Source organism: Homo sapiens, chromosome 10 (assembly GCF_000001405.40).
Source record: "Homo sapiens chromosome 10, GRCh38.p14 Primary Assembly".
NCBI lineage: Eukaryota > Metazoa > Chordata > Mammalia > Primates > Hominidae > Homo > Homo sapiens.
The window spans coordinates 91,550,616-91,577,847 of NC_000010.11; the positions used below are offsets into that span (position 1 = coordinate 91,550,616).

The window sequence follows — 27,232 nt, forward strand, 5'->3', positions numbered from 1 at the left end:
AGATTCTCTGACTCATTGTGATAAAGATGCTTATTACAATTTGAACAGAAATCCAAATGGTAAAACATTTTACTGATAATCTCATTCAAACCTACCCTCCTTGACCTCTTATTCTGTGGGAAAAAGAGACTGTAATACCATGGAGAGAAAGTATGGGGAGGACAATTCCAAATGCCAGTGGCAGGATGGCCAGCATGATGCCTCCGGCCAGTAAGCTTGCCCTCTGAAGAAGGGTGAATGCTCCTGTGTTTGTAAATACTGGAGGCTCAGTGGATTGTCTTGAGAGGAGGGAGTCCTGATCAATTTAGTGATTGGTTCTTTTTTTTGTTTGTTTCATTTTGAGACAAAGTCTCACTCTGTTGTCACCCAGGCTGGAGCGCAGTGGTGCAATCTCGGTGCACTCCAACCTCCGCCTACCAGGTTCAAGTGATTCTCCCATCCTCCCACCACAGCCTCTCAAGTAGCTGGGACTACAGGCACACACCATCACACCCAGTTAATTTTTGTACTTTTAGTAGAGACGGGGTTTCACCATGTTGCCCAGGCTGGTCTCAAACTCCTGAGCTTAGTGATCCACCCGCCTTTGCCTCCCAAAGTGCTGGGATTACAGGTATGAGCCATGGTGCCCAGCCTCAACTGATTTGTTCTTACATTAGAAAATGAGCAGGAGAGCTGAGCCACAAATCTGTTTCCATGCTGATGTTTTCCCATCCTGAATAATCATCTGCCTGCCTGTGGAAAGGGAAAATGCAAACGTCTCCATGCAACTGAACACCCAAGTGTTTGCCATAGTATTAGCAAAACACAGCATGGCCAAACATGGAAAATAGCCCCAGAGAATGCCATTTTGCTCAAGAAGACCTTGGAGGAATATCTGGCCTGTTCAAGCACTTTCCCTACCCTGAATCTCTTTGGCTATAATTTGCCCATTTTTAATCAATCAATAATCATATTTCTGGGTTCTGGGGCTGAGACAGAGATCGAAGAAAGTGAAAGGCATGGTTCATGCCCTTATAGAGACTACATATAGCTAGACCGAAAACAGTGAGAAGCAAAACTGTGGGTGCTTTGAACTGTACATGCAGTGGGAATTAAGGAATGATGTAGTCAGGCTGAAGTGACCAGGGACATTTCCTGGGGACAGGACTTGAAGATGAGTTGGCTTTAGACTAATGCTGGGGAGTGGGAACTGACCTGGGCAGCAAAGCAAGGCACAGAGGCAGAGATGAACTCTGAATGTTCAGGGCTCACCAGGGAGACTGGCTGGGGGCTTCCATGGGGAAGGAGAGGGAAGCCTGGTCAGAGAATAGGACAAGACCAGGGAGAGAAGATCTTGACAACAGATGAAGGGCAGAGCGAGGAGTTTGAATTTGATGAGGACTGCCATCTACTGGCAGTTGATGCAGGCTCTTGGGCAGTAGTGTGGCCTTGGTCCCGCTGAGGTGGGCAGGGGGAGCTAGAGACAAGGAGAATCTCTAGGAACCCCCAACCCTGAAACAGAAGCCTGAGTTTCAACTGGAGGCGGGAGAGGAGAGTCAGCGAGAACGAAGATGGACAGACTGCGGAAACATAAATGAAGGTAGGAACAGCGGAGCTCGAAGAGTAAATGCAGAGAGTGGACACAGAGGCCAAGAGGCTTGGCTCCAGGGCTTTCTTCCTAGGAGACCAGAATTTCCCCTTGTGCAGGCTGAGGACACATACAGATGCTCCTTGTTCCCATTAAGCCTCACGCTGACACCCCAAGATGGTTAGGAAGTGGCTTGGCAAGGTCCCTCCCAGGCCTTTTGGAAATCTCCATGAAGGAGTGTCTGTTTCTCCTCCCCATTCTTCCTTCTCCTTCCACACCCCCTGACCCACCCCTTTCTCTTTCTCTTTCCCTCTCTCCTTCTACCCCTCCTTCTCCTATTCGAACTTTCTGGCTTCTGCAGGAAAAGCAGCCACAGTTTCTTCCCACTGCCCACCCCCCAACCCCTGCCCCAATGCTTGGAGGACAGACCCATCCCTTTGCTGGGTTCAGGAAGATTCTAAAACACTTCGGCCTGCTGCTTCCACCAGCCCGGCTCCAGCTGCATCCCCAGGAACCTGTCCAAAAAGAAGGGTTCAGATCACATAGGGAGCTCCTCTTGCTCTTCAAACTCCCAAGCTGCTGCTAACCAGCTTGTGGAGAGAGGGGATGAAGCGAAATTTAGGGCAGGAAGAACATGAGCCTGCTAGCATAATCCACTTCTATCGCAAAGCGAGCGGGTATGCTCAGGCCTGCGGCCAGGTACAGGGCACACAACCCTCTGTCAGCCCTGCTGTGTCTCCTCAAGGGGGCAGAGCTGTCTTCTTACATGTGTGTGCATGGGTGTGTGCACACACATCCACACACGCAGGAACGCACCTGACATTAGGAAAAAGTCATTCTAACCCCCTAGTTGGTCTCAATGGACTCCTGCAGCTGTAGATGGGAATTTGAAAGCCCAGATCAGCATAGAAACCAGCCTTAACCAGTTGGCTGAGCCATGGTCAAGTAAATTAATAAATCCTGGTGCCTGCAAAATCTAGATCTCAGGAATAATGGGGTGGGGGGAGGAAACTGGTTCTGCCTGTAGAATGCAACTGACCAGCACAGGCTGAGATTTCTTTGTTTGTTTTTCAGATGGAGTCTCAAACTATCACCTGGGCTGGAGTGCGATGGCATGATCTCGGCTCACTGCAACCTCTGCCTCCAGGGTTCAAGCGATTCTCCTGCCTCAGCCTCCCAAGTAGCTAGGACTACAGGTGCGTGCCACCACGCCCGGCTAAGTTTTTGTATTTTTAGTAGAAACGGGGTTTCACTATATTGGCCAGGCTGATCTCAAACTCCTGACTTCATGATCTACCCGCCTCGGCCTCCCAAAGTGCTGGGATTACAGGCATGAGCCACTGCACCTGGCCCAGGCTGAGATTTCTAAGCCCCATCCTTTGAGCAGCTAGCCTCCCAGAAGAACCATTTCCTACCACACACAGCGCTCTGCACACTGGAGGCACTCCACAAACACTGTGCAAGGGGCTGTGGATTTTCCTGGAGAAGGCTCTAAACCACCAGTGGTCTTGGCTGCAAGGAAGCAGCCTCTCCCACTTGTAATTTATCCAAGGCCATTTGGTTAAGCCAGGAGCCCCAGAACAGCCCACACCTGCAAGGCAGGTGATGTTTATGGCAAAACTTTCAAGTAGGTGTACACCCTTGAGGTTTCTTTCCAAAGCACAAAGGTTGGAGGATGTGACCAGTGTCTGGAATTTGTACCAAAAGTTCTGCTCTCCTTTGAGACTCTCTCCCCCATATGTACACATATGCAACACACATAAACACAAAGTCACGTATGGACATATGTACACACATCAACATAGTCATGTGTACACATAATTACACACTTTCTTCTTTTTTATTCAAATGTTTTATTAATTGTAAAGGTGGCAGACTCTCTGTAATAGGCCAGATATTACAGAGATGATTTTTTTAAAAGTAATCATCTCAATCCCTTAACACAGCAGTCCCAACCTTTTTGGCATCAGAGACCAGCTGTGTGGAAGACAATTTTTCCACGGATGGCGGGGTTGGTGGAGGATAGTTTCAGGATGAAACTGTTCCCCCTCAGATCATCAAGCATTAGATTCTTATAAGGAGTGTGCAACCCAGATCCCTCGCATGTGCAGTTCACAATAGGGTTCACACTCCTATGAGAATCTAATGTGCTGCTGATCTGACAGGAGGCGGAGCTCAGGCAGTAATGCTCACTGGCCCACTGCTCACCTCCTGCTGTGTGGTCCAGTTCCTAACAGGCCAGGACCAGTACTGGTCCATGGTCCAGGGGTTGGGGACCCTGTCTTAACATAATCAGTGTTAGCAGTTTGCAGCATATCCTTCTGTATCTTTCTCTGTACTGATGCAAACATATATAAACATTCATCAAAAAATGTTACATCTAAAAATAGGATTATTACTAAACTTGTTTTTCAGCAATTTGCATCTTTAACACTGTATCTGGGGGATTCTTCAACTCAGTACATATGGGTCTGACTCTTCCTAATAGCTGAAGCACATAAGCACATCTACTTATGCTAACACAGACACATTGTATACATGTGCACACACCCCACCTCATCCCACACCACATCATCCCCAAGGCTATTGATACTGGCACTGCCCCTGCCCCTAGCCCTAACCTGCAAAACATGAGGTTACTGCTGTGTGGTTACCCCTCACACCCCCGCTTCCAGACCACACTGGCTTGACTCCCATAGGAGGGTTAAGATGGTGCACTTGGCCCAGGCTGTGCTTCTGAGTGGGCTGCTCTTGTCGTATCCCCACCCCCCATTCAGACCCTCAGGGGTAAAAACTATCACCTGGGAACACGGACCAAGCTCGGGGCCAGGCAGACATGCTTGGAGGCTGTTGTGGTAAGGAAGGGAAGGCAGGAAATCGGTCAGCCCAATAAGAAGCAAGGGGTATCCTAGAACAGCAGACCCCCAAGCTGAGGCATTGGCAACCTGTGTGCCAGCCCCGCCCTGACATTAACTCACCGTGTGACCTCAGGCAAGCCTTTCCCTCTCTGAACCTCCTTTCTTCTTCCATAAGATGAGCATGTTTGCAGTGAGGCCCTTCCAGCACAAACACATGGTTTGGTCAGTGAGTCCTGCTTCTCCCTCGGTGCTGGGAGCTCCCTCTCACACCAATGCTCCCGTGGGACCCTGCTCCCTGCACCCTCAGAGTGAGGGGAACTGGAGGGGAGCTGGTGAGGCAGAGCAGAAGCTGAGCCTCACCAGAGAGGCAGGCAGGAGGCTGCCCTGGAGGCCAGATCCAGATGAGGGTTTCATAGGCCTGGCAAAGCCTCCCCTCCTTCTAAGGCAGTAAAGTGCTTTTGCTGTCCTTTGGAACCATGCTGCTCAGTAACTACACCTGGGAACACCAAGCACTTTTTCTTCTTAATTAAAAAAAAAAAAAAGTAATATTTCAGCAGGCCCTGGGCACTTCCTGTCTTGCTAAGTCAGTACTTGTCTGATCTTTCCTGTTGAACTGGGTCCCTTAGTGCAGCATCTACTATTTACTTACTGCTGTATCCCCAGGATCTAGGTAATACCTGAGATATACTAAATGTCCAGTAAATATTTCAATGCCTCTCTCACTGATTCTGATTACAAATGTGATACCCTCATGTTGTTTTTAAAAATCCCCAAAATAGATATAAATGATTAAACTTAATAAGTGGAAAGTTTTCCAAAATGCTATTCTACAGGCCTCCCCATAAGTAATCATCATTAACAGTTTGGTGACATGCTCCTGTCCCACTCTTGTACTGTTGACATTTTGAACCAGATAATTCTCTGTTATAGGATGATTGGCAGTATATCTGGCCTCTGCCCACCAAATGCCAGTAGCACTCCCCCAGTTGTGACAGCCAAAAATACTTTTAGACATTGATAAATGTCCCCCAGCAGACCAAATTATATCCTGCCACTCCCTCCTACTCCCCTGTGTCCCACCCCTGTTGAGGAGCACTCTATATACATCCACAGAGTGAAAGTAAAGTTGAAAACAAGTAAACAAGGGCAAGAAAGAGGAGATAGTGATACATAGATGTAGGTATCAAAAACTGTTTATAATTGGTTAAATGTAAATTAATATTCCTGTTCCCTGATTTCCAGTCTTGTGTGAGCCTTGTTCAATTATTCAATCTTTATTTCATTTCCCAAATATTTATTAAATACCTTTGATGTGCTAGAAACTATGCTCATAGATATATTTTCAATAAACTTATTATAACTAAGTATCTACTTCAGCCCCCGAAAATGAAGGTAGGGAGTGGCAACAAATCCCCAGGTTCTAACTGGTTACACCTCAGTCTCTTACGAGTCCATCACTCTTAACTCTGACCAGCTCCCGCATACCTCCACCTGCCATATTGGCCTGCCATGGTAGGCCAGGGAGAGAGAAAAAGGAAGAAAAGAGAAGAGAAAAGAAAAATGTGTTGCCTACTGCCCCTGCCTTTATTGGGATGGACAGCTGGAGTAAACATCATCCAGAAAGACTGGGACTCTGGGTCCTCTCAAACCCAGCACACCCGCACCACGAATACCAGCCCCCAGCAAGAAACCTCTAAGCACTTTGTGAGTATTCATCGCCTAAACATATTTCATTTCCAGTCTTGCCCAACTGATCTCAGCCTTAACTGTTTAACTGGGCTGGTCTCTGAGCAGACTCTGTAGCTGCCCTGAAATCAGGTTACTGGCACAGCCTGTAGATATTGACTGATTCAAAGATTACAGTTGAGCAAACAGGAGCATGTTAATTTTTAATTTCACTTTGTTGATAAATCGGGCTTCCTCTTTGTCCTATAACCGATAATTACCTGGTCAGAAGAAACATGCGATACTTGACCTGCAATGAAAGTCCACTTGTCTGGCCTTCCTGGCCCTAGCTGGGTTTTTCAAAGGAGCTCCCATACTGGTTTGGCCTCAGTCAGCTGTTAAAGAATTGAGGGACTTCTGAGTTGCGCAACCCTGAGTCAATGTGAGACCCAAGCTGAACAGCATGGGACTCTTAAGAATTAAAGTGGAGACCTAAGGAAGATCTTTGAGGTTTGGGATTTGGGGTAGGAATGGGGTTTTTTTCTAACAAAGGAGAGACTGTGACAGAGAAAGTGTTTCTTTCATGGCTTCCAGTTCACACTAAGTCACCCTCATTCTGGAGCCAAGGTTGTTCTCAAAGGTGACTTTACCACAGTAAAACATGAGGACAGAAAACAGCAGCCGTGTGTCCGCCTCATCACACAAGAGCCGTACTGTTTGCTAAGTCTCTTAGTTCACACAACCGTGGTGCCATCCTGGGAAATAATTACCAGTACTCCCATTGTATGGAGAAAGAATTAATTTGCAGTTTATATCTCTAAAGGGTCCAATTACTTCATATAGAGATCTGTCGCATTGTTTTTCTCTTCCTTTTTTTTTTTTTTCCCCCTGTTGCTTTTAGGGGCCAAAGCGGTTTCAGTTTGAAACCATGATGAATTTAACATAAATCAAGAAAAGCAACAGAAGCAACTTTTCCCATCTGGAATGGAGTACAGCCTTCTATTTTATGCTATTTGTCTACCCTGTCACTAACTGCAGAGAAAACGTTCTAAAAACTGCCCTTTGTAGCCTCAAGCCATTTCCCTAGGGCTGTTTGACTTAAAAAAAAAAAAAAAAAAAAAAAAGAGCCAGAGAAATAAAAAATGTGGGCAGAGCCTGAGTGGTTTTAAGTCAAAGACCTACTGAGCAGGGATTCATTTAGTGGGTTATTTTAAATAATTCAATCCAGAAAAAATTGGTTGAATATATACATATATGCCTCACCAATTTCATTCACAGATGTTGGCAAGTGACTGAAAACAGGAAGGGAAACTTTGTTCAATGCTCGGAGATGAATGTACCAAATTATACAATCCCTGCAGAATTTGAGAACTGGAAGGGGACTAAGAAATCAGTTAGTCTAGTAAGTTAGGGCTTGCAATCTTTTTCTGGGGAGGTACTTCTGAGTTCCCTTACATTTTATGATCATCAGAGACACGATTCTTCATACAGCTAGAGAGGGGAAGGTGGGATTTTATTGAGCATGTAATGTTATCATCCGCCTACTTTGAGGATTCCCAAGTCTTCCCATTGCCTATGGGAGTATTTCTGTGGGACATCAGTACCGTGGATTGTTCACCACAAAGGTTTCCAGGGTCACACCTGTTTAGGAAATGCTGTGTGTTATATCCAACTTTGGATATTTGCAAAGTACACCTGCATAATAAATGCTGTTGCACTGAGTGAGAAGCCCTGGAATTTTAAAAGCCTCCTTATTTTTGCTTAAGCCAAGCCTCCAATCTTATTTTATGATCATATCCTGTAGGATATAGCTACAAGTGACAGAAACCCTGACTCAAAACTGGAATAAACAATAAGGACTATTTGTGACGCTTTACAAAGCAGATGTTCAGAGAGGTAGGACAAGCTTGGGAGATTTGTGTCCATATTTTCCAACTCTAGCACCCTCAGTGTCAGCTTCATCTTCAGGCCACTAGTGGGATGACAGTTACAGGCATCACACTCAGGCCTGACAGAGGAAAAAGAAGGATCATTTCTTCACGTGGCCTCTCTTAGGAGAGAAGTTTCCCGCAAGCTCCCTGGTATACAATCAAGTCTCATTGGCCAGAATCTGGTCACATATCCACTCCTGAACCAATCACTGACAAAAAAAAAAAAAAAAAAAAGCATGAAGCTGCATGGAGGAAGAATAGATTCCTGAACAAAACTAGAGCTCTGTTAGGAAGGCAAAGAGAATGGGTAAGCAGCCAGCATTGTTCACTGTAACTGTAGACACCTTTTTACACCTAACACCCTGTGGTGGTTAATTTTATGTGCCAACCTGACTGGGCCACAGGGTGCCCAGACATTTGGTCAAATGTTATTCTGGGTATGTCTGTGAGAGTATTTCAGGATGAGGTTGATATTTGAAGTGGTAATGTTTGAAGTGGTGGGCTGAGTGAAGCAGACTGCCCTCCCTAATGTGGGTGGGCCTCATCCAATCAATTGAAGGCCTGGATAGAACAAAAAGATTGAGTAAAAGGAATTCCTCCCACTTGACTGCTGGAGCTGAGATATTAGTCTTTTCTAACCTTCAGTCTTATACCAAAACATCAGCTCGTCTTGGGTTTCAAGCCTGCTGGCTTTTGGACTGGATCTTACACCATCAGCTCTCATGGTTCTCAGCCCTTTGGACTCAGACTGCAACTGGACATTGGCTCTCCTGGGTCTGCAACTTGCAGACTGCAGATCTGGACTTTTTCAACCTGTAATTCTTTAAGATGAGTAAACAAGTAAGTACATAAAAACATAACTTATTGATTCTGTTTCTGTTCTCTGAAGAACAGAGCCAGTAGTCTGTTTCTGACTAATACACACTATATTAACGTTCCTCAGATCTTAAGTTCCTCCAAACACTTTGGAAAATGCCGGAAAGCTTTCTTAGGTAGAGGCCAAATTTTCTCATATAGCATTCAAAGCCTGTTATGCTTTGGTTCCCTACTCTTTTCTAGTCTCATGTACTGTTCTAGCAAACAAAATGTTATTTCAGACTCTTGCGCTTTTACATGTACTAGTCTCTCTGCTAGTTGCCCCTTTCCCATCTATCAAATGTGGAAACATGGGAAAGTTACTTAAGCTCTGTGCCTCAGTTTCCTTTCCAGAAAATAGAGATCATAGAAATAACTACCTCATTGGTTATTATGAGGATTAAATGCCTGCATGAACTTTGAACAGTTCCTGACACACGGTAAGTGCTAAATACACGTTAGAGATCATTCTGCAATCCCACTGCACTTTGTGCATCCCTCAATGAAAACACACTCCATGCAGTAATAAATGATTTTCTTGTACATGTATCTCTCCAACTAAATCACAAAGTCTTCAAAGACAGGAATATCATATTGTTCCTCTTTGATTCTCCCAAGTTTAGCACAATATGTGGTTCTTGGCTATGATCAACAAGTGCTTGGTGAATGAATGGCTGAATGATCTTCACACCTAAAGAAACTAAAATTCCAACAAGGTGAAATAAGTTGCACGTCACATAGACAGACAAGAAATGCCAGCACTTGGAATCCGGGTATCCCAGTTTCTGAAACCAGGAGCTCCATTTACCACCTAGAAATTGCTTCCCACTTGGTGACAGCATTCTTGTAATTCAATTCAACAAGTCTTTCTTAAGCACTTACTATGCATCAGACCTGGGGACTGGGGATGACGAAAATTCAATCCATGCCCTCGAGGCATCAGGCAGCCATCCCCTGGACCTAAACCTCCAGCTGGCCTCCCTGCCTCCAGACCCCTACCCCTGCCACTCATTCTTCAAGGCACCATCAGAATTACTGCTTGGGCTTACATGCCCTAAAAGCCATAGCCTCTGGGAATAATGCCCACATTTCTGGTCTGCCACCACCATAACCCATCCATAATCTAACTTCATTGTATTAGTCCATTCTCACACTGGTATAAGGACATACTGAGACTGGGAAATTTATAAAGGAAAGGGGTTTAATTGACTCACAGTTCTGCAGGGCTGGGCGGGGGTGGACCTCAGGAAACTTACAATCATGGTGGAAAAGGAAGCAAACACATCCTTCTCTACAAGACGGCAACAAGGAGAAGTGCAGAGTGAAGTGGGGGAAAACCCCTTATAAAACCATCAGATCTCATGAGAACTCACTCACTGTCATGAGAACAGCATGGAGGTAACCGCCCCCATGATTCCACTACCTCCCACCAGGTCCCTCCCACGACATATGGGGATTATGGGAACTACAGTTCAAGATGAGATTTGAGTGGGAACATAGCCAAACCACATCATTCCTCCCCTGACCGCTCCCACATCTCATGTCCTCACATTTCAAAACACAATCATGCCTTCCCAACAGTCCCCCAAATTCTTAAGTCATTCCAGCATTAACTCAAAAGTCTAAGTCCAAAGTCTCCTCTGAAACAAGGCAAGTCCCTTCTGCCTATGAGTCTGCAAAATCAAAAGCAAGTTAGTTACTTCCTAGATAACAATAGTGTTACAGGCATTGGGTAAATACACCCATTCCAAATGGGAGAAATTGGCCAAAATGAAGGGGCTACAAGCCCCATGCAAGTCCAAAATCCAATGGGGCAGTCAAATCTTAAAGCTCCAAAACGATCTCCTTTGACTCCATGTCTCACCTCCAGGTCACGTGAGATGCAAGAGGTGGCCTCCCATGGCCTTGGGCAGCTCCACCCCTGTGGCTTTGCAGAGTACAGCCCCCCCTCCCAGCTGCTTTCATGGCTGGCGTTGAGTGTCTGCAGCTTTTCCAGGCGCATGATGCAAGCTGTTAGTGGATCTACCATTCTGGGGTCTGGAGGACGATGGTCCTCTTATTACAGCTCCAATGGGCAGTGCCCCAGTGGGGACTCTGTATGGGGGCTCTGATCCCACATTTCCCTTCCGCACTGCCCTAGCAGAGGTTCTCCATTAGGGCTCCACCCCTGGAGCACACCTCTGCCCGGACATCCAGGTGTTTCCATACACCCTCTAAAATCTAAGCAGAGGTTCCCAAACCTCAGTCCTTGACTTCTGTGCACACACAGGCCCAACACCCTGTGGAAGCTGCCAAGGCTTGGGGTTTGCACCCTCTGGAGCAATGGCCTCAGCTGTATGTTGGCCCCTTTTAGCCACACTGGGACAGGGCACCAAGTCCCAAGACTGCACAAAGCAGCAAGGCCCTGGGCCTGGCCCAAGAAACCATTTTTTCCTCCAGGGCTGTGATGGGAGGGGCTGCCGTGAGGATCTTTGACATGCTCTAGAGACATTTTCTCCATTGTCTTGGTGATTAACATTTGGCTCCTCATTACTTATGCAAATTTCTGTAGCCAGCTTGAATTTCTCCCCAGAAAATGGGTTTTTTTCTTTTCTACTGCACCATTGGGCTGCAAATTTTCCACTTTTATGCTCTGTAACCTCTTGAATGCTTTGCTGCTTAGAAATTTCTTCTGCCAGATACCCTAAGTCATCTTTCTCAAGTTCAAAGTTCCAAAGGTCTTTAGAACAGGGGCAAAATTCCACCAGTCTCTTTGCATAGCAAAAGTGACCTTTACTCCAGTTCCCAACAAGTTTCTCATCTCCATCTGAGACCACCTCAGCCTGGAGTTTAGTGTCCATATCACTATTAGCATTTTGGTCAAAGCCATTCAACAAATCTCTAAGAAGTTCCAAACTTTACCACATCTTCTTGTCTTCTGAGCCCCTTCAAGTCTCTAGGAAGTTCCAAACTTTCCCACATGTTCCTGTCTTCTTCTGAGCCCTCCCAACTGTTCTAGCCTCTGCCTGTTACACAGTTCCAAAGTCACTTTCACATTTTCAGGTATCTTTACAGCAGCACCCCACTACCTGCTACCAATTTACTGTATTAGTCTGTTCTCACACTTCTATAAAGACATACCCAAGACTGGGTAATTTTGAAAGAAAAGAGGTTTAATTTTCTCTGCCGGGCTGTGGAGGAGGCAGACTCAGGAAACTTACAAACATGGCAGAAAAGGAAACAAAAACATCCTTCTTCACATGGCAGCAGCAAGGAGAAGTGCAGAGCAAAAGGGGGGAAACCCCTTATAAAGCCATCAGATCTCATGAAAACTTGCTCACTATCACAAGAACAGCATGGAGGTAACTGCCCCCATAATTCAATTACCTCCCACTGGGTCTCTCCTATGACACATGGGGATTTTGGAAACTACAGTTCAAGATGAGATTTGGGTAGGGACACAGTCAAACCATATCATTCGTTTACCCACACAAGCTCATATCTGACCATCTGACCACTGCCAACTTGACCCTTCTCACTGTGGGTCCCTCACAAACCACACAGCAGACTTATTTCCATCTCCACCCCTCTGCTCATTTGGTGCCTCCTGTGTGACAAAGTTCCTTTGTTTCTCAACCTGTAATTGGTATGACCTACTTCACTAGCTTGGGATACAAACATAGTCACACTTTGTTTTTCAGTTCACTTTTGGAGGTCCTATATGTGCCTATTAGAACTATGTTTCCCTCTTTCTGTTCTCTCAAAATTGTATAAGAATTCCAGGGACTTCTTTTTGTCAAATGAAATGACAACTTAAAAATCTAATCTGGTCACTACTGCCATTGCTTCCTGCTGCCTCATGCAGTTGAAGCCCTGCCTTTGCTAGCTTAGGACATTTGTCTGCCCTGTGGTTATGCCCTTGGCCCGGGTCCTGACCCAGTTTGCAGGTTTCAGCTCCTCTAATCACACCTGTATGCTATGCCATGTGCCCAGAGCTTGATGCTGGTGGCTCCCACAATCATCATTAGGGTTTGGGTTAAGCCCAAGTCACAAAGCCAGACACCCTTTTCCCCCACAGTAACTCCCACTCTGAAGACATTAGAGTAATTTTCTGCCAATCATTCCAAGGTCTTGGCTACCCCAGGATACACTCGTGACATTCCTCTCACTTCCAAACTCCATAAAAGGAGCCTGTGCTCCTGTACTTTCCTACCCAGAAAAATCCTGAGCCTCTTATGCAAGTCAACCCAACTTCTGCACACTGCAAACCAAAGGGAGAAGCAGTTGCTGTTAAGCCACAAAAGAAAGTAAGTCCCCATTACATCTTTTTCCCAGACCAATAGGTGTCTTCTTATATTTGCTTAACTAAGAGACACCATTTGAGCAACTCTTCATAAACCAAGGTAACCCAGTGTGTCCATCTTCTCAAAGGAATGCTGGCAGTTTCTACTCTAAGTTGTGGTTTCTGTAGGTTGTTTCCTACACAGTAATTTATTGCACAGCAATCTCAGGTTCAAGGTCTAGAGAAAGTCCACAATAATATCTCTTCTAAAATTCCTATAGCATTTATATATATAGTCCATATCTCAATTTGTTCATTTATTGAACAAATACTTATTGAGCACCAATTATGTACCAGGTCCAGGCAATGGGTATGCAAAGCTTAAAAGGCCACAGCCTCTGTCTCCAGAGCCTGCCAAGCTAGAGGATTCTATATTGGTCTATGTTAGTCAGTGTGACAGTTGCCAGTGCGCTGGGCCTGCAGCTAGAACACTAGAAGGCCAGGCGGCACAGGGCACTGCAGTACCCCACTTGCCCTCTTACAGTTAATCTGGTGGATGATAAATAAGGTTGCAACTTTATTCAAATTGCAGCGCAAGCTCTGCCTTCATTACTGTTACCTCTTTCTGCTCTCTAGCCAGTTACCACCTCTTCCATTTGAAAGGACTATGAAAACGGGTCTCCTGCCTTCCTACAGAAGTACTAGCAAGTTGGCCGGGCATTGTGGCTCACCCCTATAATCCCAGCACCTTGGAAGGCCGAGGCAGGAGGACAACATGAGCCCAAGAGTTCGAGACAAGCCTGGGCAACACAGTGAGACACTGTCTCCACTAAAAAAAAAAAAAAAATAGCCAGGCACGGTGGCACATGCCTGTAGTCTCAGCTACTCAAGAGGTTCAGGCAGCAGGATTGCTTGAGCCCAGGTGTTGGAGGCTGCAGTGAGCTATAATTATGCCACTGAGCTCCAGGCTGGGGAACAGAAAAGACCTTATCTCAAAAAAGACAGAAGTACTTGCAAGTGATAAAGCTGAAAGCATCTTAGCTGAGACATGCACACTAAGGATTGGGTTGGATTTCTGAAAAGTATGTAACCTGATATATTCGTCAAAAAATTAATTCAATTCCATAAATACAGCAACTGCTGTATTTATACAGCAACTGCTATATGACGTGGTAAGTAGTCAGGTTCAATTAACACTGTGGATTTTTCCTGTTTTTGCTGAGACTAACAATAATCTTAATATACAATTGTTTTATAAACATAAATTCCTCTTTGAATGAAGAAGTAAAAGAAAAAAGTATGTCTGGGAGTAAGTGGGTACCTGCCTGTAGAAAAGATAACTATTTTAAGTTGAGTGAGAAGGGGAGATACTCAACATCAGTAAAATATTCCCCTGGCTTAAGGTGGCCTTGGTTGAGGAAATATTACAGATTTCCAAGTGAGTGAGTACAGAATCCAGGAGAAGGAACCAATAGCACTTAGTGACTGCGGAAGACCTGAACTTGAGCTCCAGCCAGAGAAGACTCAGTTTCACCATAAGCTGGAGCTGAGCAAACTCGCTGGCCAGACTGGGAAATGAGTAGAATGCATACAGCTGGGCCAAGCTAGACTTTGGCACATGCCTGCAAATTGCCTTTCTGCACATCACATATACCCTGAAATTCCTCACAGGGTTGTAAAATTTAGCTCTGGGTCATATGCTTTAGAAGAGTCACTGCAAAACTAGTTTAAGGGGGATGGAGGAACAAGGAGCCATGTCTTAGCTCTTAGGTCACAGACTAAAGAAGGAAAAGGCCTACTTTCCTTTAGTGACTGGAAGTGGGACTGACCAATGGTGAAAGAGGTAGCCTCCCATTTGAGGGTGTCCTGGGTAATGTTATCATCAAAGAACTGACCCAGAGCTAACATCAGAATCCTGTGTCTAGCAGAGGGAACACAAGGTCTCTTATAAGGAGCCAGTTGGGAGGGGAAGCTAAATTATACTGCCCACCTTGGTGGGCTCCCAGCCAGCAGGGGAGGGCTGCAGCCTGGCTCTCCTCTTAGTGAGAGGTCCCCCCAGTTCCTTCCTGGGGCTGAGTTGGCTGGCATCTGTGGGCTGAGAGTGAGACCTTTGAAGCAATGCACAGTTCTGAAATCTTAGCTTGCTGTCAAGGTGGTCCCTGCAAAGGATACCTGGAGCAAGGACTGGCTAAGGGCGTGTTGACGCCAAGCTTCCACGGAACCCAGACAATGAAGGGAGAGGACACTTTTGTCCATAGACATCATCTGGGGAGTCAGGATGGTCCAGTTTTTCAAGCCATTCATGGAATTAAAAGAGAAATGTCTTGGGAGTGATTGGTGGGTGGTTCTAAGGATAAGAGATCACAGCATTAGGAGAAGAAGGGTTAAGAAGTAATCATTATTGATTGTCTACAATGCGGTGGCTATTTTATATACACATTATCTCTCTTAATTCTGACAAAATTCTATAAAGGGAAATGTGACCTTTTTCATTGGACAAATAAGGAAGCAGATTCAGAGAGAGAAAGTGAGCTGCCCACGCATGCTAGCCGGTGACAGGGTCAGGATGCAAAGCCTTCTCTTGCTTTCAGCATGGCCCATGTTTTTCCCAACAACAAAAAAAAAGATATTAAATACCTGCTATGACCACAGCATAGAGCTGGGCCCTGTGGGCACACACAAATAGGTTCCTGCCTCACAGGCTAAAGGGAGAAGCAAGACCTATGATTATAGTGGCTGTAAACTACTAGCAGTTAATCAATATTAACAACTCTTCAACCTCTCACACCCTTCTCCCCTTGGTCACTAGTCTGACTAGACTGGCCTTCTTTTTGTGTGTGTGTTTGTTTGTTTGTTTGTTTGTTTGTTTGTTTGTTTTGAGACAGGGTCTTGCTGTGTTGCCCAAGCTGGTCTCAAACTCCTGGGCTCAAGTGATCCTCCTGCCTCAGCCTCTTGAGTAGCTGAGATTACAGGCGTGAACCACTGCACCCAGCTAGACTGACCTTCCTGCAGCTCCACACAAGTCTAGCTCATTCCTGCCTCGGATTCTCTGCATCAGCCCCTCCCTCTGCCGACTATGACCTTCCCAGCTTCATGTCACCATCTCAGAGTCCTTCCCTAGCCTCCCTTACCCGCTATGGGTACACCCCTCAGCCTCTCCTCTTTCCTGGCTTTATTTTCTTCCTAACACTTAAGAGCAAGCTTTGATGTCTAATTGTCTGTCGGGATCCAAGGCCTGGCTTCAACACTTTCTAGCTGTGTGATCTGGGACAAATTACTAACTCCCTGAGCTTCCGCTTCATATTTGTAAGCAGGTAATAATTTTATGTAGCTCAAGGGATTTTTGTGAGGACAAAAATAGAATAATTCATGAAAATACTTAGAGCAGTGACTGGCACATAGAAAATGTTTAATACATGTTAGCTATTATTGTTATGATTTGTTTGTTTGTTGTGTTTCCTCTTTACTAAAATGTAAGCCCTATGAAGGCAGAGACTTTGTTCATCATGAGATCCTCAGGACCTGGCACATAGTAGGCCCACAGTAAAGATTTATTGAATGAATAGCTAACTTTCTGTGTCCCAGGAATGGCTTATTTTATTTAGGCCTCACAGTAACCCCACGAGGCAAAAACCATTGTCATCATTTTACAGATGAGATTCAGAGAGGCGACATACATGTCCTAAGACTAAAAAGCCAAAAAATGGAGATCCAGGCTGCAAACCAAGTAACTCCAAAGACAGCGCCATTACCTGCTACGCTACACCACACGACTCACAGTGTCATACTTTGGAAGTATCCACTGAACACAGGAGAACCAAATACTATGACCCTGGATCTGAGAGTGCTGCCCTGCTGTGGTCACTCGGAGCTCTCTGTACAGCTCAACCATTTCTTGGTATTGGTGCCCAGGCTGTGTAACACCCTTCAGTGATGGACAACCTGGAATGGTGCCATTCCCACACATCAACACCTCCTGCAGCCAAGCCTTTCTTGAATTATCCCCATCCCATCTTCAGAGAAGAGGGTCTCTGTAGAGTCCCACTGTACCAAGTGCCATAGATGCCATTCCAAGGGTTACTATGGAGAGCCAGACTCTGCCCATGGGATAATCAGAGATGAAGGTGACGGACATCAGTTTAGACCCCAGTCACAAGGTACAGATGCAGGACTCACTGTAGCTTGTTCACCATCAGATCCCCCAAACCTGGCACAGTTCTAGGAACTTGTAGAGGCTCAGCAGATGCTTGCTGAATGAGTAAAAGAATCGCTGAGTCAGAACATTAAGGTTTGTTTCTGTCTCTATCACTAGTTAATACGTGACTGAGGCAAGTCATTTCTCCTCTTTGAACTTCAATTGCCCAATTATGAAATTGGAAAGTTGTACCACATAAGTTGTTCTATGATACTAGAGATTCCTCAAGAAATATTTTTCACTAAAAAATGAAAATTCTAACTTCCTGGGAATCCATTCGTCTTTGTTATTTGGGTATAAATTTGATTCTGCATAAATTTAATTTGAGAAAAGTGGGGGAGATCTCATTAAAATGGTTGTGAACTCCTGAACCAAATAATCTATAGTATTCCATCAAGCTCTGATTTTTTTCCAACTTAATTTCCTGGGTTATTCATAGCCTGTTCCAAAGGGATAATGAAGTCGAACTGAAAAAAAGTGAATTTAATTTCCACTTGGCTCCACCTCCAGGAAAAATTGTGAATGAAACTAAGATAGGTTCCCATATCCTCTGTACATCTCTCATTCTGACACCACCCAGCCTAGACATGCCATTGTGTTGCTGGGCCAGTAAACAGCAAGAGCATAATCCTGACACACACCTTCACATCAAATCTGTTTTTTCATCATATCCCCCCATTCAAGGTTCTTAGATAAGTGGAACCAGTAAAATATATATAGATGTATTTAATATTTTAGAGATTTGTTTTAGGTATTGGCTCACGATTATGGAGGCCGTGAAGTCCCACCATCTGCCATTGGCAAGCTGAAGAACTAGGAAAGTCAATACTGTAATTCTGTTTGAATCCAAAGACCTGAGAATTGAGGGGATGGAGTCAGGGAGAGTGTAAATCCTAGTATCAGTCTGAAAGCAGAGACCCAGGAGCTCTAATGTCCAAGGGCAGGAGAAATGTACATCTCAGTGGAAGAAGGGAAAGCAAATTTGCCCTTCTTCCACCTTTTTGTTCTATTCAAGCCCTCAGTGGATTGGATGATGCCCACTTGTCACCAATAGAGGGTTGTGACTGCAAGTTGTTTAGGTCCTTGGTGTTTTGAACAAAGAATTGGACAAAAAGCTCAGCAAAGCAAAGAATAAATGAAGCAATACAAGAATGAAAGCAGGGATTTATTGAAAACGAAAGTACACTCCACAGTGTGGGAGCAGACCCGAGCAGCAGCTCAAGGGCCCAGATACAGAATCTTCGTGGGTTCAAATATCCCCTAGAAGTTTCCCATCGGCCACTTCATGTTCACCTCATGTAATGAAGTGGTAGCCCGCCATCAGTCTGATTAGTTGTGGACAGCAACCATTCAGAGGCTGGAGTGAAGTTACAAAGTTGCAAACAAAGACCTAACCCCCACTTAGTATGATTTGTTGCAGACAGCCAATCTCCCATCTGCCATCTGCCACAAGAAAAAGTCAAAGGAAGTAACTTCTGGTCCTTTTGTTATTTAGGCGTGGAAAGTTAGGGTTTTCCTTTCAATTTAGTTCTAGGAAGTCAGTGTGAAACAGCCTTAGGTTCCCTGCCTCCAGACCCTATTCTCCTGCCCCACACCCACATTGGTGAGAGCCATTTACTTTGCTCAATTTACCAGTTCAAATGCTATTCTTTTCTGGAAGAGAATAGCATTTGACACACCTAGAAATAATATCTTACTCACTATCTAGGCATCCCTTAGCCCAGTGAAACTGACACACAAAATTGAACCATCATATCCCCTCAGAACCTATTAATGTCAACTAATCTGTTTGACTAACAGAGTCATGGTAATGTCTTATAGGACTGGTAGGAATCAGTCATCTGCTAAGTCCCCTGGTAACCAAGGCCCAGAGCAGGAGGTGATTTGCCTGTGGCCACTCCACAATTTGGCAACAGAGCCAGAATCTAAATCCAGGTTTCCCTGTTCCTAGGCTCCTTCCACTAGACCAGCAGTTCTCACCTCTTGCTGTATATGAAGATTGCCTGGGGGGCTTTGTAAAGTATTGTATGTGGGCTTCACATCCCCACAGAGGATTCAATTTGTCTAGAGTGGCGTCCAGACATCACTAATTTTTAAAAAGATTTTTATCAAAGTATGCTATGGTCTGAATGTGTCCTCATAAAATTAATATGTTGAAACATAATCACTAATGTGATAGTATTAAGAGGTGGGGCCTTTAGAAGGTGATTAAATCATGAGGGCTCATGAATGGGATTAATGACTGCTATAGTTTGGATGTTTGTCCCCCAAAACCAAATGTTGAAACTTGATCACCAGTGTTGGAGGTGGGGCCTAATGGGAGGTGTTTAGGTCGTGGGGTTGGATCCCTCATGAATGGCTTAGTGCCATCCTTATGGTAACAAGTGAGTTCTCACTCTATTAGGTCCCACAAGAGCTGATGGTTAAAAAAATCCTGGCCCCTCCCCCTCTCTCTTGCTTCCTCTCTCACCATGTGATCTCTGCACACACTGGCTCCCCTTCGCCTTCCCCCATGAATGGAAGCAACTTAAGGCCTTACGAGATGCAGATGCTGGTGCCATGCTTCTTGTACAGCCTGTAGAACTGTGAGCCAAATAAACTTCTTTACAAATTACCCAGCCTTAGGCAACAGTACATGGACTAAGACAGTAACCCTATAAAAGAGGCCTGAGTGAGCTGTTTGCCCTTTCTCCCTGTGAAGACACAGAAAAGGCATTCATGAGGAACAGTCCCTCACCAATACTGAATCTGCTGGCACCCTGATCTTAGACTTCTCAGCCCCCAGAACTGTGAGAAATAAATTTCTCTTGTTTAAAAACTACCCTGTCTAAAGTAGTTTGTTAGAGCAGCCCAGACTAAGATAAAACATAACATATATACAGAAAAGTGAATTATAAATGTACACATTAATGAATTTCCATACTCATGAACCCAGATCAAGAAACAAAAGATCTCCAGAACCTAAAACTCACACGAAAGATAATCATTACCCTGATTTCCAATATATAGATTACTTTTGTCTATTTTTGTACCTTATATAAATAGAATATACAAAATGTCCTATTTTACATCTGATTTCTTTTGCCAAAAATTATGTCTGTGAGATTCATCCACACTGTTTGGTGTGGTCATAGTTTTTTCACTCTTATTGCAGTATAATATTCCATTGTGTGACTACAATTTGTTTATCTACTCTATTGTTGATGGATATTTGGGTAGTTTCCAGCTTGGGGCTATTACAAATGGTATATATTCCAGTAGATATATTTTGATGAACATCTTATATGCATTTCTTTTGAATAAACACTTGGGAATGGAATTTCAGGTGACTGCATATGCCTACATTCTTTTTTAACAGATATTGTGAAACAGTTACCTAAAGTGATTGTACCAATTATACCCCCTATACTAGAATTGTGTGAGAGTTCCAGTTATTCCACATCTTCACCAACATTTGCTATCATCAATTTTATTGTTAAGCCATTCTGGTGAGTATGTGAAGATATTATCTTGTTTTCAGTTCCCCTGATGATTCTAATGAATAACAAAGGATCAGAACCTCAGCTTTATCCCTACACTCATGATCACTTGGGGCTTATGAAGATAATGCTCTTCCTTTTTTATCTAACTCAGTACTTCATGATATTCTACAGGCCAACCCAAAGTGTTAGGCCACAAAAATACTTTTTAAAAATCTTTTTTTATGCAAAAATTAGTTGGTGGATAACATTTTACTTTAAGTTCTCCAATGAATTTTTCTTATATTTTTGGCATGCATGGCTGTTTTCCACTAGTGACTGCTAAAAGTCAACAGAATAAGCAAGTAACAAATGAAACAATAGCATCTTCCAATCCACACATGGAATTCAAGAATATGTCTTTTGCTTCTGTAAATTTTTTTTTGGAAACCACAAACATTTCCTGCTAAGTATACAAGTTCCTTTGTGCCTGAGAGTCCTAATGTCCTTCATCCTGCTCTTTATGTGCCATGTGATCCTCCCCCGACTATAATCAATTATAGTTGTAAACATCTGACCCAAGCTGGGCCAATCTGATTCTCTTTCTATCTCTCTCGGAAATTTAGAATTAAGACTTAGGGCTGATTCAATTATTTAGAGCCATGCAAATGTGTGAAAATGGAACTAGAATTGGCAATGAGTTAGCTGAAAGCCAGATAAAAAGCAAGTGTGACATTAGCATGAACAGAGCTAGGGTTGTATAGCTACAAGACAGTATGAGAGAAAAATTAAATATGGGTTGCACAAAATAATTTCAATCTCAAAAATCCAAATTATTTTAGTTCTCTGGTACCAGCGAGGACTAATCGAGATGGATGCCTGCCACCTCTTGTCATTGAATGAGAAAGACATGGAGTCTGAAATAGATGACCAGACTCAGAAAAAAGAAGCCTCTTAGCATGTGAAGGAGAATAATCCCCAAAAGGTCCTTTTGGATAAAGATGATAAATAGAAATTAATGGTTCAGACTCCACTGATACTAATTTATCATGCATCAAATATTGATTTTGTCATGATATGTTGCACCATCTTTGTGGTCTATTTTAATGCATGTAAGATTATAAGCTTTCATCAGTTCATCTACAATCATTGTCCATTTAATATATGTATTTTTTCCTATACAGTTTTTTTTTTTTCTTTGAGACGGAGTCTCGCTCTGTCGCCCAGGCCGGACTGCGGACTGCAGTGGCGCAATCTCGGCTCACTGCAAGCTCCGCTTCCCGGGTTCACGCCATTCTCCTGCCTCAGCCTCCCGAGTAGCTGGGACCACAGGCGCCCGCCACCGCGCCCGGCTAATTTTTTGTATTTTTAGTAGAGACGGGGTTTCACCTTGTTAGCCAGGATGGTCTCGATCTCCTGACCTCATGATCCACCCGCCTCGGCCTCCCAAAGTGCTGAGATTACAGGCGTGAGCCACTGCGCCCGGCCTCCTATACAGTTTTAAATTCTCCAATCACATAGCTCTTTGGTACAAGACTTCCAAACTTAGAGATGAATAATATAGCACTTTGGGAAGCAAGGTGGGCGGATCAGTTGAGGTCAGGAGTTCAAGACCAGCCAACATGGTGAAACCCTGTCTCTACTAAAAATACAAAAATTAGCTGACTGTGGTGGTGCAGGCCTGTAGTCCCAGCTACTTGGGAGGCTGAGGCAGGAGAATTGCTTTAACCCAGGAGGCAGAGGTTGTAGTGACCTGAGATCATGCCACTGCACTCCAGCCTATGTGACAGAGCAAGACTCTGTCTCAGAAAGAAAGAAAGAAAGAAAGAAAGAAAGAAAGAAAGAAAGAAAGAGAGAGAGAGAGAGAGAGAGAGAGAGAGAGAGAAAGAAAGAAAGAAAGAAAGAAAGAAAGAAAGAAAGAAAGAAAGAAAGAAAGAAGGAAGGAAGGAAGGAAGGAAAGAAAGAAAGAAAGGGAAAAGAAAAGAAAAGAGTTAAGACAAAATCCGTAATGTCCCATTTAACAGCTCATTGGTTTATTTTTGATAAATGTCTGTATCAGTTAGGATAGGCTGGGTTTTGCTGTGGTAACAAAACTCCAAAATATTACTTAAACAAACAAAAATGTATTTCTTGTCCACACTGTATGTTTGATGTGGGTTGGCAGAAGGGTTGTACACCTCATAGCAACCCTGGGACTCCAGTGAACAGAGACTCCACCTCAGCGTGGACTTTCACGAACACTGCACCATAGGGAAGGAGATGAAGATGATCATACACTGACTTTGAAAGCTTCTGCTTAGGTTTCTTTGGCTAAAACATGTTATGTGACCATACCTTATCAAAGGATACAGAGAACCAAAATATGTGCAACTGGTCTTAGCAACTAACACAGTATGTGTGATTTAAAATGTTCTACTGTGTGCTTATCATACAATTAGCTTTCAGACTTGGTAAGTTGCTTCTCATTTGTGTGATGGAATTAAGCACTCAAGAATTCTTTCCTCAGCTGCACTGGCACCTGAGTTCATTTGAAAACTGCTGGCGTAACCCATAGTGGGAATTCCTGTTAGATGAGAATTTACTGGGGGCCGGCTGAGGCCCACACATATCACACCACACAGGCAAATCCCGCTACCAGACCTGAGGCCAGTCCTCTTTCTAGACCATGGTGTCACTGGAATATTGGAAATCTGGGCATTAGCTTGAGTTTTGGAGGGGTTGAAACTGCAAAAATGAAGCAAAACAAGTAGTCTGCTCTAAGGGGAAAGAATCTAACATGGTGTTTAGGGTCTTGTTTAACCTAGAGTACCTTGGTATCACCACACCCTGTTGGGGAGAACGCACAGTGTTATGTCACGAATGAGCTGTAAGTCTTTAAAAAGCCATCTTTCTTTTCTGAGCTATAAAATAAACAGGTCAGAAAAGAACAGCAATTTTTTTTTTTGAGACAGTGTTTCACTCCGTCACCCGGGCTAGCGTGCAAAGGCATGATCCTAGCTCACTGCAACCTCTGCTTCCCAGGCTCAAGCGATTCTCCCACTCAGCCTCCTGAGCAGCTGGGACTACTGGCACGCACCACCATGCTTGGCTAATTTTTTTTTAATTTTTGGTAGACATGTGGTCTCACTATACTGCCCAGGCTGGTCTCAAACTCCCAGGACCAAATGATCCTCCTGCTTCAGCCTCCGAATGTGCTGGGATTACAGGCATGAGCCACTGTACTGGGCCAAAACAGTAATTTTTAAGTGCAAGACCCTTTACAGAAATAAATCACATTCTGAGTCCCAATGTATAAGACAGATACAAAGGGATTCCAGAATGGAAGGGCAGCCCCACATCCTCATAGACCTCACTCTAAAGAGCAGTCCCTAAAACACCTTCACACAGACTCTGTAGAGCTCCAGGGAGCTTGGTTTTAAAATGTCAGGATTCTGTAACCTCTAAGATCTTTTCCTGTGATTCTGTTGTTCTAGCTTTAATGCCAGCATTTCCTGGTTCCAAATCCGAAGAAACAAGTGAGTACGCACAATGCTCCTTCCCTGGCCCAAGGCTGAGCCCTGCCTGGGCCCAGTCCCATCACTCCTCCGTGGCACCAAACGTCCCTCCCTGGCCTACTCCCCAAGTGTTGAAAATCTTTACCATTTGCAGTCCGAAAGATTCATGCCCAGGACTGTCAATAGCACCGACATCCTTTGCCTCTGCTTGAGAAAGAGCAAGCCATGTCTGTGCATTGGAAATCTCACAGGTCAATGCCCTTCTGCTTCCGTGTCCTGGCTCCATTCCTCTTCTCACCTCATCAAGTGCTGTTTTTCGTCATCCAAGTGTCATGAGGGGTGGTGAGTTGCAGTGGAAGGAGGCTCTCATCCTGTCCAAGAACCCCTTGGTAATTCTCCAGGTAATTAATGAGGACTCTGGGGGACACTGGGAACGCCTTTGGAATGTTAAACAAAGTGGCTTTTATTCTGGCTGCCTTGCTGCGGCTTCTTCCTCATAATGAAGGGGCCAATTGTGCTGTTGGTGGGTGTATCTGAAACGCCCTCTGCCACCATGGCCCTAGGCTTTCCTTTGGCCTGTTGATTTGGTCTCATGTCAGGGTGTTTCTGGCAGAAGAGGGACAAGACCTTTATTTTAAGGCTCATAACAACCAAGAACACCCTTTCCATCATCAGCATTTAAAATGCTGTATTATTTGCCAATAAGCCATGTCTTTATCTAGGTCACTTGCCTTGTCTTTAACCTGAGCCATCTCTAGCTTCTTGCTACTCTAAGAGTGGTTTGGACCATAGGAATCACCTGGGAACTTGCTAGAAAGGCAGAACCTCAGGCCCCACTCCAGACAGACTGGATCAGAATCTACATTTTAATAAGATCCCCAGATCATTGCTCTAGTCTAGACAACTACAGAAGTTTGAGTGACTTGGTCAATGGCCAGAGCCCAGGTATCTTGGAGAGGCACATTGTTTGTCAGAGAGCACTGGTCTGGGAGTCAGAAGACCTGGCTTTCCATTCTGAGTCGGCCACTAACTCTCTGAGTGGCCTTGGCTAAATCAGTTATCCATTCTGGAATCTTGGATGAGCTGGACTCCTGCCTCCCCAAGTGCTTGCTCTCAAGACAGAAAACAGAAAGGTATGCTTTCTCCTGCATGCTGATGACATGATTTGATTGCCAAACACTTAACAGACAATTGTCCCTGAGACCTAATTTCTCTCAGGAGCTTCAGAGCAGCTACCATAGCTTTTTGTTTTGTTAACTGTCTCCCAGCATTTAATTGTTTTATCACATTCAGTGTCTCTCTATGGCAACTCACTTTGTTAAGTTCCCTGAAGGTATCTCTTTGCACTTGACTTTTTTCAGTTTCCAAAAGATGAGTCATCATATCTGCCTTGCTTATCACACAGGGCTGTGCTGAGAAGCCACTGAGGCAGCACCTTAAAAAGTATGAGGTGCTGTCACATATACTGCAAACTGACAGAGTCTTTCTGGGAAGGCCATTTAGTGACATGAGTTTTTTTAACCTTAAAAATATGTACACCCTTTCCAGAGAATCATCTGATAAGCCCTGGGGGGAAAGAATCATGGATGAGTGCAAAGGCTGTTAATCACCACAGCATTATTAGTAATGGTGGAAAAAGTCTAAACAACCCAAATGTCCAACAATAGGAAACTGGGTAAATAAACTAGTAAATGATGATGTCCCATAACATAGAATTCTATGAGCTATTAAAAATGCTGCTGAAGATGAGTATTGAAAGATGTGGAAAGCGATTGGTGATTTCTCACCAATTAATGAAAATATGCTGAAGACTGTATTATGGATTGTGATCACATTCCAGTTTGAGAATAATGTATATAAATATTTATAGGAAAGGGGCTGAAAGCATCCATATTGTTTGTTAATACTGATGACACACTGTTGATTATAGGTAGTTATATTTTCCTCATTTTGTTTATCTATATTTTTAATTATGACAGTGCAATACAATTTTCAAAAGGAAAACATGTTTTTGAAAAAGGAAGGTATAGCAACATTCCTTAACAATTAGAAGCACTCCAGCCTGGCCAACATGGTGAAACCCAGTCTCTACTAAAAATACAAAAATTAGCCAGGCGTGGTGGCAGGTGCCTGTAGTCCCAGCTACTTGGGTGGCTGAGGCAGGAGAATACTTTCTTTTTTTTGAGACAGAGTCTCATTCTGTCTCCAGGTTGGAGTGCAGTGGCACGATCTCCGCTCACTGCAACCTCCGATTCCCTGGTTCAAATGATTCTCCTACCTCGGCCTCCCAAGTAGCTGGGATTACAGGCATGAGCCACCACGCCCAGCTAATTTTTGTGGTTTTAGTAAAGACAGGGTTTCACCACGTTGGCCAGGATGGTCTTGATCTCCTGACCTCGTGATCTGCCCACCTCGGCCTCCCAAAGTGTTGGGATTACAGGCTTGAGCCACCAGGAGAATCTTTTGAACCCAGGAGGCAGAGGTTGCAGTGAGCCAAGATCACGCCACTGCACTCCAGCCTGGGCAACAGAGAGAGACTCTGTCTCAAAAAAAAAGCAATTAGAAGCACTGTTTTTATCATCACTTTACTCATCAGTGAAGAAAGCCCCTCTGGCTGGGGAAGAGGGGAGCCAAAAGACAGCATTTCACGTTGGTCATGCTGCTGACCTCACATCCACCATGTGAGCAGACTTTAAATGGTACCCTACAGCATCTGCAGGTGGTAAAGGAAGCAATGTCTTCATTCAGGAACTCAGAGGAGAGGGGGAACTAGGGAGGAAACCATAAATTTTTCCTAGAACACAAACTGAAATTCATAGTCCTGCAAAGTGAGCAGTGCATAGGTATGTTGCATGCCTCCTGCAAGGACCTCAGATCCCAAACACAGTTACAGAACCAGGCAGTGGGGATGCAGACAACATTTCTCCTGTCTGGCCTAAAGCAGTAAG

The 27,232-nt window shown here is 44.3% G+C and overlaps 2 long non-coding RNA genes across 5 annotated transcripts in view; one reads left to right on the forward strand and one right to left on the reverse strand.

The window, feature by feature from the left end:
- The window catches only part of HECTD2-AS1 (HECTD2 antisense RNA 1), a 304,499-nt gene that overhangs the window by 243,654 nt on the left and 33,613 nt on the right, over nucleotides 1–27,232 (reverse strand). The gene's annotated exons all lie outside the window — the stretch shown is intronic.
- LOC105378433 (uncharacterized) lies at nucleotides 1,507–25,852 on the forward strand. Of its 4 annotated transcripts, none has more exons than XR_007062242.1 (4): nucleotides 1,507–2,266; nucleotides 2,642–2,763; nucleotides 5,900–6,129; nucleotides 6,992–7,818. It is a non-coding gene; the product is annotated as an uncharacterized LOC105378433 (long non-coding RNA). The 4 variants fall into 4 exon arrangements; XR_007062243.1 differs by having other exon boundaries at nucleotides 1,507–1,579; XR_001747548.3 differs by having other exon boundaries at nucleotides 1,507–1,579; nucleotides 5,900–7,818.